Source organism: Homo sapiens, chromosome 11, assembly GCF_000001405.40.
Source record: "Homo sapiens chromosome 11, GRCh38.p14 Primary Assembly".
In the NCBI taxonomy this organism is placed as follows: domain Eukaryota; kingdom Metazoa; phylum Chordata; class Mammalia; order Primates; family Hominidae; genus Homo; species Homo sapiens.
In genome coordinates, this window is record NC_000011.10 from 126,305,684 (window position 1) to 126,327,265 (window position 21,582).

General features: G+C 46.4%; 1 protein-coding gene across 2 annotated transcripts in view, besides 3 other annotated features; it reads left to right on the forward strand.

Moving 5' to 3' along the window:
- DCPS (decapping enzyme, scavenger) overlaps positions 1-21,582 on the forward strand; it is a 45,946-nt gene that overhangs the window by 1,624 nt on the left and 22,740 nt on the right. For both annotated transcript variants that reach the window (NM_001350236.2, NM_014026.6), the window contains exon 2: positions 887-1,061. In NM_001350236.2, coding sequence (NP_001337165.1) covers positions 887-1,061 — 175 coding nt within the window. The remainder of the gene's footprint in view (positions 1-886; positions 1,062-21,582) is intronic.
- Positions 123-412: an enhancer, noted in NCBI's record as "active region_5707". NCBI's record gives its function as "activates an Ori minimal core promoter by ATAC-STARR-seq in GM12878 lymphoblastoid cells {active_cell/tissue: GM12878}" and the evidence as "EXISTENCE:reporter gene assay evidence [ECO:0000049][PMID:35858748]".
- Positions 5,735-5,804: an enhancer, noted in NCBI's record as "active region_5708". NCBI's record gives its function as "activates an Ori minimal core promoter by ATAC-STARR-seq in GM12878 lymphoblastoid cells {active_cell/tissue: GM12878}" and the evidence as "EXISTENCE:reporter gene assay evidence [ECO:0000049][PMID:35858748]".
- Positions 10,131-10,336: a silencer, noted in NCBI's record as "fragment chr11:126185709-126185914 (GRCh37/hg19 assembly coordinates)". NCBI's record gives its function as "represses an EF-1alpha promoter that drives an FKBP-Casp9 reporter gene in an ReSE screen in HepG2 liver carcinoma cells {active_cell/tissue: HepG2}" and the evidence as "EXISTENCE:reporter gene assay evidence [ECO:0000049][PMID:32094911]".

The window sequence follows — 21,582 nt, forward strand, 5'->3', positions numbered from 1 at the left end:
GTGCTGGGATTATAGGCATGAGCGACTGCGCTGGGCCTTGTTTTTTGTTGTTTTTTGTTTGTTTGTTTGTTTGTTTTTGTTTCTTGTTTTCTGTTTTTTTGTATGCGATTCTGTCTGGTTCTCTCAGCCCAGCTGTCTTCAGTGTGCAGCACCTGTTGAAGGTGTTAGTCATGAGAGCCTTCGAGCTAGGAGTCACTTGGGAGACCTAGGTTCTGGTTTCTGTTTCAATGCTGACTGTTCATGTGACCTTGGGCAAGTCACTCAAGGTCTGTTTTTCATCTTCTGAAATGGGGAGAACTTGACAGAGGTCTTGTAAGCCTAAAATGGAAGACAACTGAGAAGCCTTGTATTCTGGGGAAGAAAGGTGTGAGAACTGCCACAAGGATTTGGGTGGAGATGCCTTCTCTGGCTGGGCATGGTGGCTCACACCTGTAATCCCAGCACTTTGGGAGGCTGAGGCAGGCATATCATTTGAGATCGGGAGTTCAAGACCAGCCTGGCCAACATGGTGAAACCCCATCTCTACTAAAAATACAAAAATTAGCCAGATGTGGTGGCATGCGCCTGTAATCCCAGCTACTCAGGAGGCTGTGGCGGGAGAATTGTTTGAGCCCAGGAGGTGGAGGTTGCAGTGAGCCAAGATCGCGCCATTGCACTCCAATCCGGGCAACAGAGCAACACTCCATCTCAAAAAAAAAAAGATGCCTTCTCTGAGAAAAGAAATGTGAAATGTGAGTGCCATTGGCTAGACTTCCCCAGAGGGAAGACTTCAGGGAAGGAAATCCCAAGTATTGGGAATTCAAAGGCCCTGGGAGCTTCTGTCTTGCTCTCCAGAGTCTCATCGTGGTTCTGCCCTTGAGCCCACTGATGATGCCTCTGCCCACAGGTGAATGAGGCCTCTGGGGATGGGGATGGAGAGGATGCCGTTGTGATCCTGGAGAAGACGCCATTTCAGGTGGAACAGGTGGCTCAGCTCCTGACGGGCAGCCCTGAGCTCCAGTTGCAGTTCTCCAATGATATCTACAGCACCTATCACTTGTTCCCTCCAAGACAACTGAATGGTGAGCAAGAGGTGGCCAGGGTGGCTGTATGGAGGGAGAATGGGATGGTGGGAAATTAGGTGGTATGGTGACCAGACTCTCTATACCCGATTTGCATATTCTAGTACAATAGGGAGATTACTTCCCTAGGGGACATTTGGCCATCGGTGAAGACATTTTTGATTGTCAGAATCGGGGGTGGTGGTGGGGTGTTGCTTCTGGCATCTAGTGGGTGGAGATCAAGAATGCTGCTAAACACCTTACAATGTACAGGACAGGCTCCCACAGCAAAGTAATGTCAATAGTGCTGAAACTCAGAAACCTGGCCAGGCATGGTGGCCCACACCTGTAATCCCAGCACTTTGGGAGGCCACGGCGGGCAGATCACCTGAGGTCAGGAGTTCAAGACCAGACTCTCGGCCAACATGGTGAAACCTCATCTCTACTAAAAATACAAAATTTAGCTGGGCATGGTGGCGTTCACCTGTAATCCTGGCTACTTGGGAGGCTGAGGTGGGAGACTCGCTTGAACCCAGGAGGCAGAGGTTACAATGAGCTGAGATTGTGCCACTGTACTCCAGCCTGGGTGATGGAACAAAACCCTATCTCAAAAAAAAAAAAAAAAAAGAGAAACCTTGTTGTAGTGTAGTATGTTTTAGGGAGAGAGTGTGATTCATGGGATAGAATAATATATATATATTTTTTGAGATGGAGTCTTGCTCTGTTGCCCAGGCTAGAGTGCAGTGGCGCGATCTCGGCTCGCTGCAACCTCCGCCTCACAGGTTCAAGCAATTCTCCTGCCTCAGCCTCCCGAGCAGCTGGGATTACAGGCGCCCACCACCACGCCTGGCTAATTTTTGTATTTTTAGTAGAGTCAGGGTTTCCATCATGGCCAGGCTGGTCTTGAACTCCTGACCTCGTGATCCACCCGTCTTGGCCTCCCAAAGTGCTGGGATTACAGGTGTGAGCCACCGTGCCCAGCCAGAATAATAGATTAATCTACTAATTGAATGATAAAAATTGTCAACAACACTTAGGAAATCCTTACTATTGTATCTACATGTATTAACACAGTTAATCCTCAAAACAGCCCTCTTGTAAGGAGGACTTTACGAATGAGGAAACCGGTTTTTGAAAGGTTAAATAACTTGTCCAAAATCACACAGCCAGTAGGTGGCGGGAAAGCTAAGGTTTTTCAGTAGACTGGGGTCTTGCTCACCATACTCATTCTGTGGGCCGGCCAGTGTGTCTGGTGCTGCAAAAATCAGTCACTTCCCTGAAGGAACCTACTTTCTGGTGGGAGAGACAACTAGTGAGATCAAGGGGGATGGGAGAGAAGGGCAAGAACTCGTGGGTTAAAAGGCAGAGATTTGTTTTTCATTGCAAGCATTTCTTAATTTATTAAAAAGAATATTCCATGCCAAAAGCCAGGTGTGACATGTGCATTTTTTCTCAAGATGGTTAGATTTTGTAGGCAGCTTTGTTGGAAACATGAGTGAGACTGGTTGACCTTAAAGATTCCTTCCAACCAGCAAATTCTGGAATTTGTTTTACAGCACATGGTGACTTTGTCATATCCTTCTGTCTTCTTGTTTGCCCTCCAGCATTTAAGAGCGGTCTGGCTTTGCAGATATCTTGCCCCACAGTCTTTTGATAGATATTCTTTTCTGCCCTCCATGAAAGGGTGCTATTGTTGTCCTTTGGAAATATGTGAACACTTCATGGTGAGACAAGCAAACCTTTCATGACTTAATGCAAAACAGCCTTGTCTTCCATTGAGCAAAAGCCAGATTAATTGGTGCAAGTTGATGGAAATGGACAGCTGTATTTCCTTTCTCAGGCAGTGACGTTTAAGCAAATGTATTCCTCAGCACAGGGCGGCAGAAGAATGACAGAAGGCACCGTGGCCAAACACAACTTGGGGTGGCCCCCTGCATTGCAGGCTCTAGGGGCTATTATTTTACTGCCACACCCTTTCCCTCACCTTCCGAAATCCCTCTACCCACCCTCCCCACCCTTGGCCAAAATTCAGAAGGTTCTGCCCGACAGATGAACCCTGTGGAATTCACAGGCTGTCCTTTTTATTTTCCCAGTCCTTCTGTGGCATTGCACACAAGTGGAGGTAGTCCCTGCTCGCCCTTTCTGTTTCTATTGTTTTTCCCAAGATAAGCACTGAAAGAGGCAGTGGGTTATTGGCCCACCACAAGTCCTTGTTCCCACTCAGAACCCCAGGTGTCTCCAGGGCCACCCCCACCCACCTGGGAGCCTCAGATGTTAGTTCATCTTTTCTTTTCCTGCCCCTTTTTTTTTTTTTTTTTGAGATGGAGTTTTGCTCTTGTCACCCAGACTGGAGTGCAATGGCACGTTCTTGGCTCACTGCAACCTCCGCCTCCCAGGTTCAAGTGGTTTTCCTGCCTCAGCCTCCCGAGTAGCTGGGATTTACAGGCACACACCACCACGCCCAGCTAATTTTTGTATTTTTAATAGAGATGGGGTTTCACCATGTTGGCCAGGCTGGTCTCGAACTCCTGATCTCAGGTGATCCAAAGTGCTGGGATTACAGTTACAGGCATGAGCCGCTGCCCCTGGCCTTCCTGCCTTCTTGGTATATAAGTCATCCCTCAGTATCCACTGGGGATTGGTTCCAGGACTCTCCTTGGATACTAAAATCTGTGGATGCTCAAGTCCCTGATATAAAATGGTGTAGTATTTGCATGTACCCTAAGCACATCTCCTGCCTGCTACAATGTAAATGCTATGTAAATAGTTATTATACCATGTTTTTTAGGTAATAATGACAAGAAAAGTCTGTACGTATTCAATACAGACGCAATGTCCTTCTTTTTTTAAGTATTTTTATTCTTCATTTGGTTGAATCCACAGATATGGAACCCACAATACGGAGGGCCGACTGTACATGCGGTGCCTTTCGCTCCTGCTTTTCCTACCAAAACTAGGGATGGGGATTTGGAAGTCGCAGCGGTTTGCTTCAGGGCCCGGTTGCTCCCTTGTTTAGCTGCATAGCTTTTCCCTGGGTGATATTTGAGGTCAGGATTGTCAAACTTTTTCTGTCAAAAACCAAAGAGTCAATATTTTAGGCCTTGTGAGGCACAAATGGTCTCTGTCTCCTCTTCTTCTTTTCCTCCCATCTTCCTTCCCAACCCCTTCTTCTTCTGCCTTTTCTGCCTTCTCCTTCCTTCTTCTTTTTCTCAACCCCTGTGAAAATGAAAATATCACTCTTGGTTTGCTGATTGTACAAATAGAGGTCCAGCTGGCCATAGTTTGTTAACCTCTGTTCCAGATTTTTACCACTCAAAGTGTGGTTTGTGAACCAGCAGTATTCGCACCACCTGGGAGTCTGGTAAAACAGAATCTCCTCCCCATTTCAGACTACAGAATCACTGGAGTCTGCATTTTAGCACAACTCCCTGGTGAGCCATATGCACGTAAAACTTTGAGAGGCACTGGTCTTTAAAAAAACACCATCTGTATGCCGGCGACGCCCACCTTTATTTCTCCATCCTTGACCTCTCCAAGAACTCCGGGCTCATATTGAAATAAAGCCCTCCTTGACATCTCCATTTGGAGGTCTCATAGGTGCAATTCAAGAATCCGATGCGCTAATGTACTTAAAAGCACTGAGCACAATACTAAGTAGTAGCTGCTGTTATTAGTCTCATGTGCCAGGCCCTATGCCGCGTACCGTAGCTTCAGAGATGAGTAAGATACCATCCTTGCCCTCACAGTCTTGTTTGGGGTCAGGGGTGGGGACATAGTGGTGAAAAGAGGAGAGTTTGGTCACTGCCTGGATATAAGGGGTGAGGTCCTCGAAGGTTGGAGCCATGTCGCCCATATTAGGTGCTTTCAATAAGTGAAGAATGAACCCACAAACTGACCTATGTGTAGATTTGTTTTCCTGTGGGCTGGGCATTCCACAGCCACAAGGTGGCAGCATTGCCAAAATAGTCCTGTGGCCCACTCCAGCTGTCCCCTCTGTGGGAAGGCCAGCTAAGTCAGAGCCTGGGACCTCCCTCTCCAGTCCCAGCCTTGGAGTCAACTCAATGCTGCCCACCCCGAGGGCCCTGAATGTGCAGTTCCTGCAGCCTCAGCCCTCTGTCCCCCTGCATGGTTGTGCCTTTGAGTTTTTCTGCTGTCTCTGGCTGCTTCTTTAGACCTCCTTCCTAGAATACTGTTTGCCTAGGGGAGCCCCCACCCCTCATTTCTGAGCTGGCCACAGTAGAAATCATGGGCTCAGCTGATTTTTTTCTGGTATTCCTCTGGTCACTGGCAACTTTCTTTTCCTCTTCAAGTCTGGAGGTTTTGCAGTCTCCTCATTCGTTTATCCCCTCCACGTTCTCAGCTGACTGCAAGAGGCTGCTCGTGTGAGCCACTCATCCTTCCAGCTGCAATGTCCATCCCAACGACATAATGGAGAGAGCATGGGCTTTAGGAGTTAGTCATGCTGGGGCACTCATGCTTTCTCATGGCATGCACTGGGGCAGCAACATGCTGTTTCTGAGTTTTAGCACAGTGCCAGTGCTGAGAACAAGCCTCACGTCAGGCAGACCTGGGTGCGAATCCTGGCTTTGCCATTTGCTAACCATGAGGACCTGGGACATTTCTTTATTCATTTAACAAATGTGAAGTGTCTGCTATGTGCCAGCTACTCTAGTAGAAGCAAGGTCTGTGTTGGTGAAGATAACCGATGTCTCCCTGTCTTTGCAGTTCTAGTGGGGAAGGCAGACAGCAAACAAGGAAGCAGATGTCTGAGTGGCCATGAGCAGGAGAGAGCCTACTCAGACCAGGGCTCTAGGAGGGCTCTCTGCAGTGGAGCTGACACCCAGGCTGAGGCCTGAAAGATGGGAAGAAGCCAGCTGTGCAAAGAGGGGAGAACACTCTGGGCTGAGGAATAGCACGTGTTCTGGGGATGGAAAGAAGAACAGAAATGAGGCTGTTATGTCAGGAGTGATGGGGTGGGATGGTGGCAGGGGTGTGTACTACAGATGAAGTTGGGGAAGTAGCTTCAGTTATTTTCTGTTAAATTAGGTTAGAAACTGAACTTACCTCAGTGGGTAGGTTATGAAACACATAAGGAAGTTTTCACAACTTTAGCCACTGCCCGCAGTGAGAGATATGTTTCACATTATGGTCTATTACACATGGACTAATAGACATGAATAGAAATGAAACTTTATTTATTGAGTTAGTTAGTTAGTTTGTTTTTGAGACGGAGTTTTGCTCTTGTCATCCAGGCTAGAGTGCAATGGCGCGATATTGGCTTACTGCAACCCCTGCCTCCCGGGTTCGAGTGATTCTCCAGCCTCAGCCTCCCGAGTAGCTGGGATTACAGGCATCCTCCACCATGCCTGGCTAATTTTTGTGTTTTTAGTAGAGATGGGGTTTCACCACATTGGCCAGGCTAGTCTCGGACTCCTGACCTCAGGTGATCCACCTGCCTCGGCCTCCCAGAGTGCTGAGAGTACAGGCGTGAGCCACCGCATCTGGCCAGAAGTGAAACTTTAAACAATGCTTACCCATCCGCTATGGCATACTCTGTAGTATTTCCTATCTAGTTTCAGCCTTATTGGTTTCCTTTTTTATTTTTTAATTTTTAAAATTATTTATTTATTTTTGGGGCAGAATCTCTCTCTGTCACCCAGGCTGGAGTGCAGTGGTGCGATCTCGGCTCACTGCAACCTCCACCTCCCGGGTTCAAGCCATTCTCCTGCCTCAGCCTCCTGAGTAGCTGGGACTACAGGCACCCGCCACCACACCCAGCTAATTTTTTTGTATTTTTAATAGAGATGGGTTTTCACCACGTTGGCCAGGCTGGTCTCAAACTCCTGATCTCGGGTGATCCGCCCGCTTTGGCTGCTCAGAGTGCTGGGATTACAGGAGTGAGCCACCACGCCCAGCTGGTTTCCTTTTTTAAAATGCTGGTCTTAATCCCCTAAATTGACTTCATGGCCACTGTCCTGGATTAGGACCCATTAAGAGAAGGTGTATAGAGCACGTGGCACAGTAGCTGTCATATGGTCTGTATCCAATAAGTGTAATTATGGTGTTGCCTCTTATTTTTTTCCACCTTTCAATTTATGTGAGCTTTAAATGGAATAATATATATAACATGGAAAAGTGACTGGCTCTGCCCATGGGTAGGTTTCCTTTCTTCTTCCTGTTGCTGTGTGGCACATGTGAGGAGCTAATGGCCCGAAGGCTGGCACCTGAGAGCTTCCTCTGACCCTCCAGGCTGGGCAGGGCCTGCATCTCCTTTCTGCCATAGCTGTCACCCTGCGGCCTGTCAATGGAGCCCTTTATTGCGGTCTGTTCTCCTTTACCTGGGGAAGAAGGGGGAGATAGCAGGGAGAGAGGTGTGGCTCAGAAATCCAGGCTGCCTCTTCAAAGGCCAATTGTTTCCCCGTGTAAACCAGGAGGTGAAATCTCAAGTTCAGAAGAGGAGACAGGCATTTGTGAGTGAGGCCAGGGCGGGGAGCAGAGGGGTGGGATCCTGGGAATCGTTTCTCTGGTTGCAGGGAACTCCCGGTACTGTAGCCACAGGCCAGGGTTTTCCGCCCTGTGCTATTTGCAGAGGCAAAACCCGGACCTCCTGAGGGAGGGGTGAGGACTTGTTTGGAAGGAGCATTTTAAAAGACAAGTCATTCTCAGAAGAGTTTGCTTGGTAGCATTGTTAATGATAGAACAAACTAGAAACAATCAAATAACAGTAGAGTAGGTAGATAAACCGAGGTATAGTCCTACAGTGCCTAGCTACAGCAGTGAAAATGAACTACAGCTGCCTGTATCAATGAAGGATAAATCTCACCATGTAGGGCAAGAAAAGCATGACACAGAATACACATGGTGCGATTAAAATGGTACAAAGTTGAAAAACAAGCAGAACTGAACAATATACTGCCTAGGGATGCATACATGTGTAATAAGACTATGAGGACAAAAAGGAAATGATTAACCCCCAAATCAGGGAGGTGATTATCCTTGGTCGGGGTGTGGCAGGACAGAGAGAATGTTAAAATTTCTGGTTATATTCTGTTTCTTGGATTGTGTGTTCTGAGCATATGTATTCTTTTTATTTTACTTAGGTTTTTAAGTGGTACATATTTTATATACATACACACCTGTGTTTTATATGTATAATGTATTTCCCAGTTGAAAGGTAAGACAAATTGGCAGGTCCTTAGATGGACTAGAAAGATCGTCCCATGAATTTCAAGGGCTGCATCCTCATTCTGAAGTGTGGTTTTCAGTCACAGTTCTCAAAGTGAAGGTATTTGGTTTCAGCCTCCTACTTCTGGGTTTTAGGCATTTGTGGACTTTCATTTCTGCAGGCTTCCCCTTCTTTGGGGTGTGGGGATGGCTGGGCCAGCCGCTTTTCTCCCCAATGATTGTTGTTCTCTTCTTTGTGTCCGTATGTCCTCAACGTTTAGCTCCCACGTATAAGTAAGAACACACATATTTGGTTTTCTGTTCCTGCCTTAGTTGGCTTAGGATAATGGCCTCCAGCTCCATCCATGTTGCAGCAAACGACATGATCTCACTCTTTCTTATGGCTGTATAGTATTCCATGGTGTATATGTACCACATTTCTTTATTCAGTCTAGATGTTGGTGTGGATGCAGTGAAAAGGGAACACTTCTACACTGTTGGTGAGAATGGAAAGTAGTACAACCATTACGGGAAACAGTGTGGAAATTCCTTAAAGAACTAAAAGTAGATCTACCATTTGATCCGGCAATCCCACTACTAGGTATCTACCCAGAGGAAAATAAGTCATTATATGAAAAAGATATTTGCACATACATGTTTATAGCAGCACAACTTGCGATTGCAAAAATATGGAACCCACCCAAATGTCCATCAATCAACAAGTGGATAAAGAAAATGTGGTATATATCATACCATGGAATACTACTCAGCCATAAAAAGGAATGAAATAATGGCATTTGCAGCAACCTGGATGGAATTGGAGACTATTATTCTAAGTGAAATAACTCAGTAATGGAAAACCAAACATTGTATGTTCTCACTCATATGTGGGAGCTAAGCTATCAGGATGAAAAGGCATAAGAATGATACATGGGACTTAGAGGAAAGGGTGGGGAGTGGTGAGGGATAAAAGGTTATACATTAGGTACAATGTACACTGCTCAGGTGATGTGTGCATCAAAATCTCAGAAATCACCACTAAAGAACTTATTCACGTAAGTTCCTACCTGTTCCCCAAAAACCTATTGAAATAAAAAAATAAAAAAATTTAAAAAAATTGCTCTACCGTAAAGACACATGCACACATATGTTCATTGTAGAGCTATTCATGATAGCAAAGACATGGAATCAACCTAAATGCCCACTTGAGGGTGGAGGGTTGGAGGAGTAAGAGGATCAAAAAACTCCCTATCAGGTATTATGCTTATTACCTGGGTGATGAAATAGTCTCTATGCCAAACCCCTGCGAGACAATTTACCTGTAAACAAAGCTGTACATGTACCCTTTAACCTAAAATAAGAATTAAAAAAAATAAAAAGAATATTTCTGGGCTGGGTGCAGTAGCTCATGCCTGTAATTCCAGCACTTTGGGAGGCCGAGGCAGGTGGATCATTTGAGGTCAGGAGTTCGAGACCAGCCTGGCCAACATGGTGAAACCCTTTCTCTACTAAAAATACAAAAATTAGATGGGTGTGGTGGTATGTGCCTGTAGTTCCAGCTACTCAGGAGGCTGAAGTTGGAGGATTGCTTGAGCTCAGGAGGTCAAGGCTGCAGTGAACTATGATTATGCCGCTGCACTCCAACCTGGGTGGCAGAGCAAAACCCTGTCTCTTAAAAAAAAATAAAAAGAGAAAAGAAAACCAGTAAAACCATTAAGGAGTATTTACATGATTGAGGCCATATTAATATGCATGCTCAACCAGAGTGCTAAGTTTCTAGTTTTTCCTCCACCTGCCCAGTGTATCATCTCCATGCCACTCAAAGGAGATTGCTTTATTTTCTCTTTGAGACAGTCTCAGTCTGTTGTCCAGACTGGAATACAGTGGTACCTCTCAGCTCATTGCAACCTCCACCTCCCGGGTTGAAGCGATTCTCCTGCCTCAGCCTCCCGAGTAGCTGGGATTACGGGTGCCTGCCACCACACCAGGCCAATTTTTGTATTTTTAGTAGAGACAGGGTTTCATCATGTTGGCCAGGCTATCTCAAACTCCTGACCTCAAGTGATCTGCCCACCTCACCCTTTCAAAGTGCTGGGATTACAGATGTGAGTCACCACGCCTGGCTGGAGAGTGCTTTTGATGTCCAGGTCGAGTGGATTCTCTTTTCTTGCATTCCAACAGTCCTTCAAATCATGCTGCTTTTTAGTTTGTTTCATATTTGAACCACTGTTTTATTAGCTTTTACTTTTTCATGGAGTTTTTAGTTGCCTCTTTTTTCATTGTGGTTAAAGGAATAATGTACCTTTACTCTGCTCTTGAAATTATCCAGTGTGATAATCCATTACATCAAGCTTGTCCAACCCGCAGCCCAGGACAGCTTTGAATGCGGCCCGACACAAATGTATAAACTTTCTTAAAACATGAGATTTTTTCCGTGATTTCTTTTTTTTTTTTTCAGCTCATCAGTTATTGTTAGTGTTAGTATATTTCATGTAAGGCCCAAGACAGTTCTTCTTCCAGTGTGACCCAGGGAAGCCAAAAGATTGGACACCCTTGTATTACATCATATTTCCTTCCTTGCTGGTAACATTGTTTCCAGAAAGCTCTTTCCTGCTTCTCCAATCTGGACAGGTGATTCTTTAAGCAAGTTGTTCAGGTCTCAATCTGAGACTTCCTTTTGCAACTTCTGTGAGTTAGATGTTTTCTGTATTCTACGTCTGTTTCTTTCTTGTTTTACTCTCTTGATTAGCTGAAGTACATTTTTTTTTTTTCATGTTTTTCTTGAGATGGAGTCTCGCTCTGTCGCTCAGGCTGTAGTGCGGTGGCGTCGTGATCTCAGCTGACTGCAACCTCCGCCTCCCGGGTTCAAGCCATTCTCCTGCCTCAGCTCCCAAGTAGCTGGGATTACAGACACCCGCCACCGCGCCCAGCTAATTTTTTGTATTTTTAGTAGAGACAGGGTTTCACCTTGTTGGCCAGGCTGGTCTTGAACTCCTGACCTCAGGTGATCTGCCCACCTCAGCCTGCCAAAGTGCTGGGATTACAGGTGTGACCCACCATGCCCGGCCTCTTTTTTTTTTTTTTTTTTTGAGATGGAGTCTCGCTCTGTCACCCAGGCTGGAGTGCAGTGGCGCGATCTCAGCTCACTGCAAGCTCCGCCTCCCAGGTTCATGCCATTCTCCTGCCTCAGCCTCCCAAGTAGCTGGGACTACAGGCGCGTGCCACCACGCCCAGTTAATTTTTTGTATTTTTTAGTAGAGACGGGGTTTCACCATGTTAGCCAGGATGGTCTCGATCTCCTGACCTCGTGATCCACCCTCCTCGGCCTCCCAAAGTGCTGGGATTACAGGCGTGAGCCACTGCACCCGGCCTCCCGGCCTCTTTCTTATAGTCTGGTAGATTGTCTGCATTTTGTCTTCTAGACCTTCTAGTGAAGGTGTTAATTTGACAGTCATATTTTAAATTCTCCTCTCTCTGGTTCTCTGATTATTTCATTCTCATAGCATTTTGCTCTTTTTTTTTTTTTATTGAGGCCAAATTGTGTTGAATCTCTCTGGCACACTAATTAGAATTATTTTTAAAATTATCTCCTGACCCTCAAATTATTTTATTTCCTCTGGGATCTGGTTGTTTATCTTGGTCATCCTTATTCAGGCTGCTGGTTTCTTTCAATGGCTGCTGATTCACATGAGTTCACTCATATTTCACAGTGCAGCACAGTGTGGCATGTCCAGTGACATTCATTGAGACTTGGTACCCGTGCCCCTTTCAGAGTGAATTAAAGACATGCCTTCAGGCAGGAAGTTGAGAGAGGCCATATTTTGGAGTGTTCATCCTACAGCTTTTATTGTGGTCTGGTCTGCTCAACCCCAGCATAGTTTCTTTCTGTGTGTGGAGAAGTGGGGGGGCTCGCGGCTCTAAGGCCAAGCCTGTCACTTCATAGCTCCCTGACACATTGCACATTAGCTCTTGCTCTTCCTGTTCACACGGAGCTTTGCAGAGTGCCATTAGCCCCACAGCCATCCTGAAGTCGCGTTTCCCACTCTCTATCCATTGTAACTGAGGGCCTCTCCTGCCACCCCAGGGCTGCATTTGGAGTTACCAAATTTGCTTGTGGGCCAGGAGACCCTGGAGTTTTGCCATCCGGTCCTGTTGCCTCCCTACCCCCTCTGCTTTCTGGACTTCAGAGGACTAGCGAGAGGGAGGGAAGGAGCTGAGGGTTTGTACAAGAAGCCTGTCAGATCCAGAGTCTTGCTAAAGTCAGCGTCTGCCTCTCCTCTGTCTCTAATAGCAGCTCTGTGCTTTCCTAGAGACAGGTAATTAGTGGTTAGAGGCTTGCTGTGGAGTGGTTGAAGTTTCCAGTAGGATCCTGACCACACCCTTCAGCCGTGTTTATCCTTGATGTGGAGGTCTCTTCGGGCTTCACTTGAGCACTTTCAGTATTTCTGTAATGTAGGACAGAGAACACCCTGCCTTGCTTGGCCTGGGACCAGAGGATGACTTAAGATCCACGGCAGCCAGCCTTCCCTCCACCCTCTGGCCTGGTCTCCCCGTTACCATGCAGCCAGGGCTGAGGAGAGTGTCGCCTAGCCAGGGGACATCCCACAGAGGAGGAAAGAGAAAGCAGATCCAGGAGAGCCTCCCACCAACCTCTCGTTCTTTCAGGCTTTCTCTGGCATGCCTTGCGAAGTCCGGTTATCTGACCCATCCCTGGCTGGCTCTGCCTGGCTCTTGTGGAGAGGACATGGCGGGTGGGCTTCGACTCAGATCATGCATTGCTGTTGCTTCTTCTCAGTGCTCCTGGGCCTGCACATCTGGGTTAAATAAGTTAAGCTGGCTCCTCTGAGCAAAGGGGAAGCAAAAGCCACAGACTGAGCCATAGAGATGAGCTCATCCTGTAGAAGCCATCAGCAACGGCTGGAAAGCAGTCTTGTTTGAACATGTGTATGGGAAGGAGAGCAGACTGTCTGTGGTTTGTGTTTTCATGTTTCATGTGCAGCAGCATTTTCCTGGGGATTTGGCTAAGCTAGCTTTGGCAGGGAGCAGAGAGGCAGCTGCTCTTAACTTTCCTCTAGATAGCCCTGCCTCCCACCTCTGAGAGCAGTTGGGCTTTTGTGTCTAGACGGGGGACAAAGGGTGGCTTTATATATTAGGGAAGGGCTTGCAGCAGATCCTCAGGGTCTTGATGGACAAGTCAGAGCTGTGTTAGTCCGGGGCACATCAGCCTGCTCATCTGAGTTGCAGAGAGAAGGAACATATGCCTAGAGGGGCGCTTTTCAGCTGGAGGCATCACTATCATCATTCTCGCCGCTAGAACATCCTGTAGATGAAGAGCTGCTGCCCTGAACTCCACCAGGCCCCTCTTCTGGGACTTCCCCCTTCATGCCTCCCACCCCATAATCTAACACTGCTATACTTGGTAGGGGAGGTGGTAGGGGACAGGATGGTACCACAAATGTAGGCCAAAACAGCTATTGTTTCTAGTTGTGAGCCAGTCTGGAAGCAAGGTCCTCTTCCGTCCCTTTGTGCTCCCCCCAGAACCTGCTGTCCCGCAGCATTTGGCCACAGTATCCCCTGGTAAGGCTGTCCTCACACGGCTCTCCAGAGCTCAGGGGAGTGGACTCTCCTTCCCTGAGCTCCCCAGGAAGCATCTTGGAGGGCACAAGCAGAGCATGAGCAGTGTCATCTCTGCATGTCTGACCACACCCCCTGTCTGGACCTCACTTGCTCTGGCACCTCATTTTGCCCTCTGGTTTCGCTGACAGCTGTTTACGTGTCTCTAGGAAGAATTGGAACTAGTCATGTTTCTCCTATCTGATAGGGCTGCTTTTGGAAAACATGGCCCCAGCACAGGTATCTTAGGAACGGCCCGAAAGAGGTTGGGCCTTTGGGATACGGGAGTATTGCATAGAGGAACCAGACTGCCTGGGTTCAGATCTCAGCTCTGCCACTATTAATAGCTGTGTGTCCTTGGGCAAATTACTCAACATCTCTGGGGCTCAGTTTTAAGGGGTAGCTTCCTTTTAACGTATTTGTTACACAAGTGATATGTAAATATATATAACTCCATCATCCAGGATTGATCTCTCTTAACATCTCAGAGTATGTCCTTTCAGATTTTTTTTTTTTTTGAGATGGAATCTTGCTCTGTCACCCAGGCTGGAGTGTAGTGAGGCGGTCTTGACTCTCCATCTTTACCATCCTGGCCAGGCTGGTCTCAAACTCCTGACCTCAAGTGATCCACCTGCCTCAGCCTCTCAAAGTGCTGGGATTACAGGCATGAGCTACGGTGCCTGGCCGTAATATATTCTGTTCTACAGACTGTACTGTGAGGTCTAATCAGTGTCGGGTGTTATCTTAGGCACTGCACACACAGTGTACGAAACAGAGTCCCTGCTCTCGTGGACTTGATGTTCCACTGGAGATGATCTTAAAGAACAAGCAAGTATGTCACGTGGCAACAAACAGCAAAGATTGAAAGTAAAGCATCATAAGGGAGACAGGAGGACAGGGACATGGGCTTCTAGTGCAAAGGGGACAGTTTGAATGCCCACCTACTTCCTTTATAGCCTGCTCTGACAATGATATTAAAGGAATATTCTTAAAAAAAAATTAACCCATCAAGACTACAAGGGCGGGGTGCAGTGGCTCATGCCCCTAATCCCAACACATTGGGAGGCCAAGGTGGGTGGATTGCTTGAGCCCAAGAGTTTGAGACCATCCTGGGCAACGTGGCAAAACCCCATATCTACAAAAAATACAAAAATTAGCCAGGTGTAGTGGTGTGTGCCTATAGTTCCAGCTACCTGGGAGGTTGAGACGGGAAGATCACTTCAGTCCAGGACATAGAGGCTGCACTCCAGCCTGGGAGACAGAGCCAGACCCTGTCTCCAGAAAAAAAAGGAGAGGAGACAACAAAATTTCCAAACCTAGGATACGTAGGGAGGAGCAGTAACTGGATCTGAGAGATGACACCTTGGCCAGCAGTCCCTCAAGTCTGCTTTCCCATTTCATATGGAACTTGCTCCTTCCTTGCCCCAGCAGGAGAGTAGAGCAGAAATGTCTGGAGAGGGTGACATACCAGGTAGCCAGGGAAGGTGGCTCACTCCTGTACTCCCAGCACTTTGGGAGGCTGAGGTGGGCAGATCCCTTGAGTCAAGAGTTGGAGATTAGCCTGGGCAACATGGGGAAACCCTGTCTCTACAAAAAATACAAAAATTAGCCAGGCATGGTGGTGCATGCCTGTCATCCCAGCTACTCAGTAGGCTCAGGCAAGGGGATCACTTGAGTCTGTTTGGCAGAGGTTGCAGTGAGCCAAGATGGCGCCACCGCACTCCATCCTGGGTGATAGTGGGACCTTGTCTCAAAAAAAAAAAAAAAAAAAATCACACGAAGGGTGACACACCAGGTCTGGAAGAGATTCAAGGTACAGCTGAGAGTGGGGTCAGGGCACTGAGGTGTGGAGAGATGAGTGGATGTTTACACCTTGAGCATTTGCAGTGTTGCCGTGATCCCCCGGCCCCCATCCAGCTGCTGCCCTTTCTCATCCCCAGAATACTGTCAGCCAGGCTTATAGCTCCATATGTGCAATTGGAAGTCATTTGTGGAGAATCTGCCCAGCCCGAGAGAAAACCTAAACTATTGAGGTTCCCTAATACAAAAGAACAGCCTGACCACCTTAACACGAAGCTCCAGGTGACCACAGCGACACCCACAGAGCTGCCCTTCAGGAGGGAGTGGACAGGCAAGGGTGAGCAGACTCTAAATAAAGCCTCAGCTGAAAAAGAGAAGACAAGAAAAAGAAGGGAAGGAAAAGAAACCTAGAGGAGACAGAAACTGTGTGGGGAGAAGACATTTCAAGAACTATAATTAATCTCAGAGAAATTATGCTGCTATATTGAATGTATAAGAATATTATCAATAAGGAATTTTATTAAAGCTCTTGGAAATTAAAGATACAGCAGAAATGGAAAATTAAAAAAATAGAAGAGTAGAAGATGAAGTTGTGAAGAAAACTTCCTTAAAAGTTGAGCACAAAGACAAAAGAGATGGAAGATGGAGAAAAGATAAGAAAGTCAGACGCTGAATCCAAGAAGTTAAATATCCAAATGGGTGTTGCAGAAAGAAAAGGCAGAGAAAATGAAGAAGAAAGGTCTTTAAAGAAATAATTCAAGACAGTTTCCCAGGTCTGAAGAACATGATTTTTAAGATTGAAAGGGCTCAGCAATTACCTAGCACAATGGATGAAGATAAAACCACTTTGAGATCCAACCACACCATCAGGGCATTGGAGACAGAAGAAAACAGGTCACAAAGAACTGGGCATCATAATGATCTCAGACTCCACAACAACAGCATTCAGATCTTCTTATTTTTATTTATTTTTATTTTTTTGAGACAGAGTCTCACTTTGTCGCCCAGGCTGGAGTGCATTGGTGCCATCTTGGCTCACTGCAACCTCCGTCTCCTGGGTTCAAGCAATTCTCCTGTCTCATTCTCTCTAGTAGCTGGGATTACAGGCGCACACCACCACGCCCGGCTCATTTTTGTATTTTTAGTAGAGATGGGGTTTCGCCATGTTGGCCAAGTTGGTCTTGAACTCCTGACCTCAGGTGATCTGCCTGCCTGAACCTCCGAAAGGGCTGGGATTACAGGTGTTAGCCACTATGCCCAGCCAGCATTCAGATTTTCTTTCTATCCTAAAATTCCTTTTTTTTTTTTTTTGAGACGAAGTCTCACTGCGTTGCCAGGCTGGAGTGCAGTGGCACAATCTCGGCTCACTGCAACCTCCGCCTCCGAGGTTCAAGTGATTCTCCTGCCTCAGCTTCCTGAGTAGCTGGGACTACAGGCGCGTGCCATCACGCCCAGCTAATTTTTTTTATTTTTAGTAGAGACGGGGTTTCACCATGTTGGCCAGTCTATCCTAAAATTCTTTAGCAAGAAGCAAAAAAATTTTTTTGAGACAATGTCTCACTTTGTTGCCAGGTTGGAGTCCAGTGGTACAGTCATAGCTCATGGCAGCCTCAAACTCCCGAGTTCAAGTGATTCTCCCACTTCACCTTCCCGAGTAGTGGCGACCAGAGGCAGGTACCACCACACGTGGCTAATTTATTATTTTTTGTAGAGATGGGGTCTTGCCATGTAGCGCAGGCTGGTCTCGAACTCCTGGGCTCAATAGATTTCCCCCCTGTTTCAGCCTCCCAAAGTGTTGGGATTACAGGCATGAGCCACCACACCCAGCCACCAAATTCCTAAGTGTGACAGTAGAATAAATATATTTTCAGATGTTTCAAGTCTCAAAATATATCTTGCTTGCACCATGTCTCTGGGCACAACTTGAGTTTGTGATTCACAGTTTACAAATTTGATAATTCTGTACTGTTACCAATAGTTACAAGAGACCTTTTTAATCCTCTTATCTGGGAAACAATTTTCAAAATACAATTATTGTTTTACCTTGAGCGGTAGAAAGTTCAGCTTTAGAAACATTGTGTTTATTTCCATTGTAATATTATATATGCAAGCTGATGCATGTATTTTTCAAAGCAGGTGTACTTTAATGGTTAAAAAAATACACATGATGCAGAAAGTTCTTTGAACAAGTAAGGCATTCAAACAATTCTAAATGTATTAAAGTTGCATTTCTTTCTTTTCTTTTTTTTTTTTGAGACAGGGTCTTGCTCAGTCACCCAGGCTGGAGCGCAGTGGCACGATCACAGCTCACTGCAGCCTTGACCTTCCAGGCTCAAGCGATCCTCCCACCACCTCAGCCACCAGAGTAGCTGGGACTACAGGCATGTGCTATCACACCCAGCTAATTTTTGTATTTTTTGTAGAGATAGGGTTTTGCCATGTTGCCCAGGCTGGTCTCGAACTCCTGGGCTCAGGTGATCCAAAGTGCTAGGATTATAGGCATGAGCCACCAAACCTGACCCTAAAGTTGTTTTTTTGTTTGTTTTTTGAGATGGTGTCTTGCTCTGTTGCCCAGACTAGAGTGCAGTGGCGCCATCTCGGCTCACCGCAACCTCTACCTCCCAGGTTCAAGCGATTCTTCCGCCTCAGCCTCCCGAGTATCTGGGATTACAGAAGCAAGCCACCATGCCTGGCTAATTTTTTTGTGTTTTTGTAGAGATGGGGTTTCACCATATTGGCCAGGCTGGTCTTGAACTTCTGACCTCAGGTGATCCGTCCGCCTTGGCCTCCCAAAGTACTGGGATTACAGGTGTGAGCCACTGCACCCAGCCCTAAAGTTGTATTTCTACAGTTATTGTATTCACATAACAGATTGCAGTAGCAAAATTTTTTTTTAGTATAATGTTTAAATTTTATTTTTAACTGACAAATAATTGTGCATAATGATTTCTGTTTTATGCTCTGGTGGAAATTTGAATACCTATCTGCTGATCTACTTGGTAAATTATTTCAGAGAATTGAAAATATTTTCACAGTTTTCCTAATGAAAATTCCAAGAATTGGATTTATAATAATAATAATGCCACACTAAAGTTTGAGAATTACTTCTGGGGGTGGCAACCGGAAGTTCTGGGAAGACACATTGTTCATGTGCCTGTTGAGTTTTTTTTTTTAGACAGGGTCTCACTCTGTCCCCTAGGCTGGAGTGCAGTGGCGAGATCTGCGCTCATCACAACCTCCGTTTCGCAGCTCAAGGGATCTCCCACTTCAGCCTTCTGAGTAGCTGGGACTACAGGCATGCACCACCATGCCTAGCTAATTTTTCTGCCTTTTTTTTTTTTTTTTTTTTTTTTTTGGTAAAGACGGGATCTCACTATGTTGCTCAGGCTAGTCACAAATCCATGGTCTCAAGCAATCTCCCTGCCTTGGCCTCCCAAATTGCTGGGACTATAGGCATGAGCCACTGTGCCTGGCTTGCCTGATGAGTTTAACACATAAGAGGAGATTTATGTAAACAGGGAAGTGGATTTGGGGATGAATTAGTGACATGTTTATAGAAAATTAAACAAGTGGCCAGAATTTGGGTGGAGATGCCTTCTCTGGCTGGGCACGGTGGCTCACACCTATATCCCAGAATTTTGGGAGGCCGAAGCGGGTGGATCACCTGAGGTCAGGAGTTCGAGACCAGCCTGACTAACATGGTGAAACCCTATCTCTACTAAAAATACAAAAATTAGCGGGGCATGGTGGTGGGCACCTGTAATCCCAGCTACTCACTCGGGTTGCTGAGGCACGAGAATCGCTTGAACCCAGGAGGTGGAGGTTGCAGTGAGCCAAGATCGTGCCATTGCACTCCAGCCTGGGAGACACAGTGAGACTCAGTTTCGAAAAAAGAAAAAAAATTAAACAGTAAAAATGTAATGACTTATTCCATACACCAAAAATTATGCTGAAGAGAAGAAAATAATCACAGTAACTATGGCAGTGAACAGCATTTACATCATCATCATAGCATCAGTGTTGAATACTGATTTATCAAAAATTGTGGTAAAGTTGTACTGTGAGGTTGAGGGTTAGGAAGTATCTGTGTATATGTGTGTGTTTGTGCATGTGTGTGCATTTGGTGAAGGGATGGTAAAAAGAGATAAATTCTCATCTTCCTTAATGAGAAGTCAGTAAGTAATAGTAGAAGTTAAAAGTCAAGTAGGAACAAGATATAAAAGTATAATTTAGAATTCTGGAAGTATATAACCAAAGAGGTGGCCAGAAGTGTTGAAAGTGGTGCCTTTGAAGGAGCTGGAAATTGGGAGCAGGGAGGAGCAGAAAAGTGTTTTTGAAAACAAGCTTCATTTGACTCTTTGACATATATGCAAGTACAATTTGAATTAAAAAGACAAACACAGTGTTAAAAAGCATGACAGGGGAACTCTGTAAGGAGTGTTGGAGGTGCTCTTAATATATTGTGAAGATTTTCCAGGGATAGATTTTTGAGGGTTTATGGTTATCCCAGGCTGTGTTTGGAGAATGCCAGCAGGAAGGCCAGGCGCGGTGGCTCACACCTGTAATCCCAGCACTTTGGGAGGCTGAGGTGGGCGGATTACGAGATCAGGAAATCGAGGCCATCCTGGCCAACTTGGTGAAACCCTGTCTCTACTAAAAATACAAGTATTAGCCAGGCGTGGTGGCGTGGGCCTGTAATCCTAGCTACTGGGGACGCTGAGGCAGGAGAATCGCTGAAACCCAGGAGGCGGAGGTTGCAGTGAGCCAAGATTGCACCACTGCACTCCAGCCTGGTGACAGAGCAAGATTCCATCTCAAAAAATACATATAAATAAATAAATAATGAGAATCCCAGCAGGAGGGTGGGACTGGGGAGTTGGTCAGTTCTCTGGCTACCAGGAAGAGCTCTGGGCAGGGGTGTTGCCAGGTATCACTCATCCTGAGCAGGCGGTGCCCTCAGTCCACTTGCCAGACAGCGTATGGCAGGGAGAGCCTGGCAAGGCCACCGGGCCTCTTCTGCTGACCTGCCGTGGGCAGATGGGGCTGCCAGTGTGGGTCCCGGCCCTGAGCACCACACGGGGCTGTGGGTCCTTGGGGGCCACTCCAGGCCCTGGGCCTCAGTTTCCTCATATGTAAAATGCAATCATAATAATACCCGTTCATGTTGGTCATAAGGAGTAAATGAGTTCATTTTTGCGTGTCAGGCTTAGAATAGTGTTATAGGGCTGAGGTTCCGAAAGGTATTGACACCTTAAAAAAAATTTTCCTACTAAAAAAAATTCCAATCCTGCAGAAAAGTTGTAAGAATAGTACAAAGAACTCCCTTATAAAAGGACTTCACGGCCGGGCGCAGTGGCTCACGCCTGTAATCCCAGCACTTTGGGAGGCCGAGGCATGTGGATCACGAAGTCAGGAGATCGAGACCATCCTGGCTAACACGGTGAAACCCTGTCTCTACTAAAAATACAAAAAATTAGCCAGGCGTGGTGGCAGGCGCCTGTAGTCCCAGCTACTCAGGAGGCTGAGGCAGGAGAATGGCGTGAGCCCGGGAGGCGGAGCTTGCAGTGAGCCGAGATCACGCCACTGCACTCCAGCCTGGGCGACAGAGCGAGACTCTGTCTCAAAAAAAAAAAACAAAAAACAAAATAAAAGGACTTCACCTGTTAACATTTGCCACATTGGCTTTTTCTGTCTCCACATATACGTAGAATAATGATAACGATGGATATAAAAAAGGGTAAAATTATTAATTTCAGGAGATTTCCCATTCGTATGAGACTTCTGTGACATACAGTCCATAGTTAAGTTGTGCCAGTTGCTTCAGTGCAGGGCGCCCCTCCCCGGATCCCAACCCCGGATCTAATCCAATCCCTTTAGTCCCGTCTCTTTAGTCTCCCTTCATCTGGAGCAATTCCTCAGCCTTCTTTGTCCTTCCTAACTTTGACATTTTTGTAGTGTTATAAAG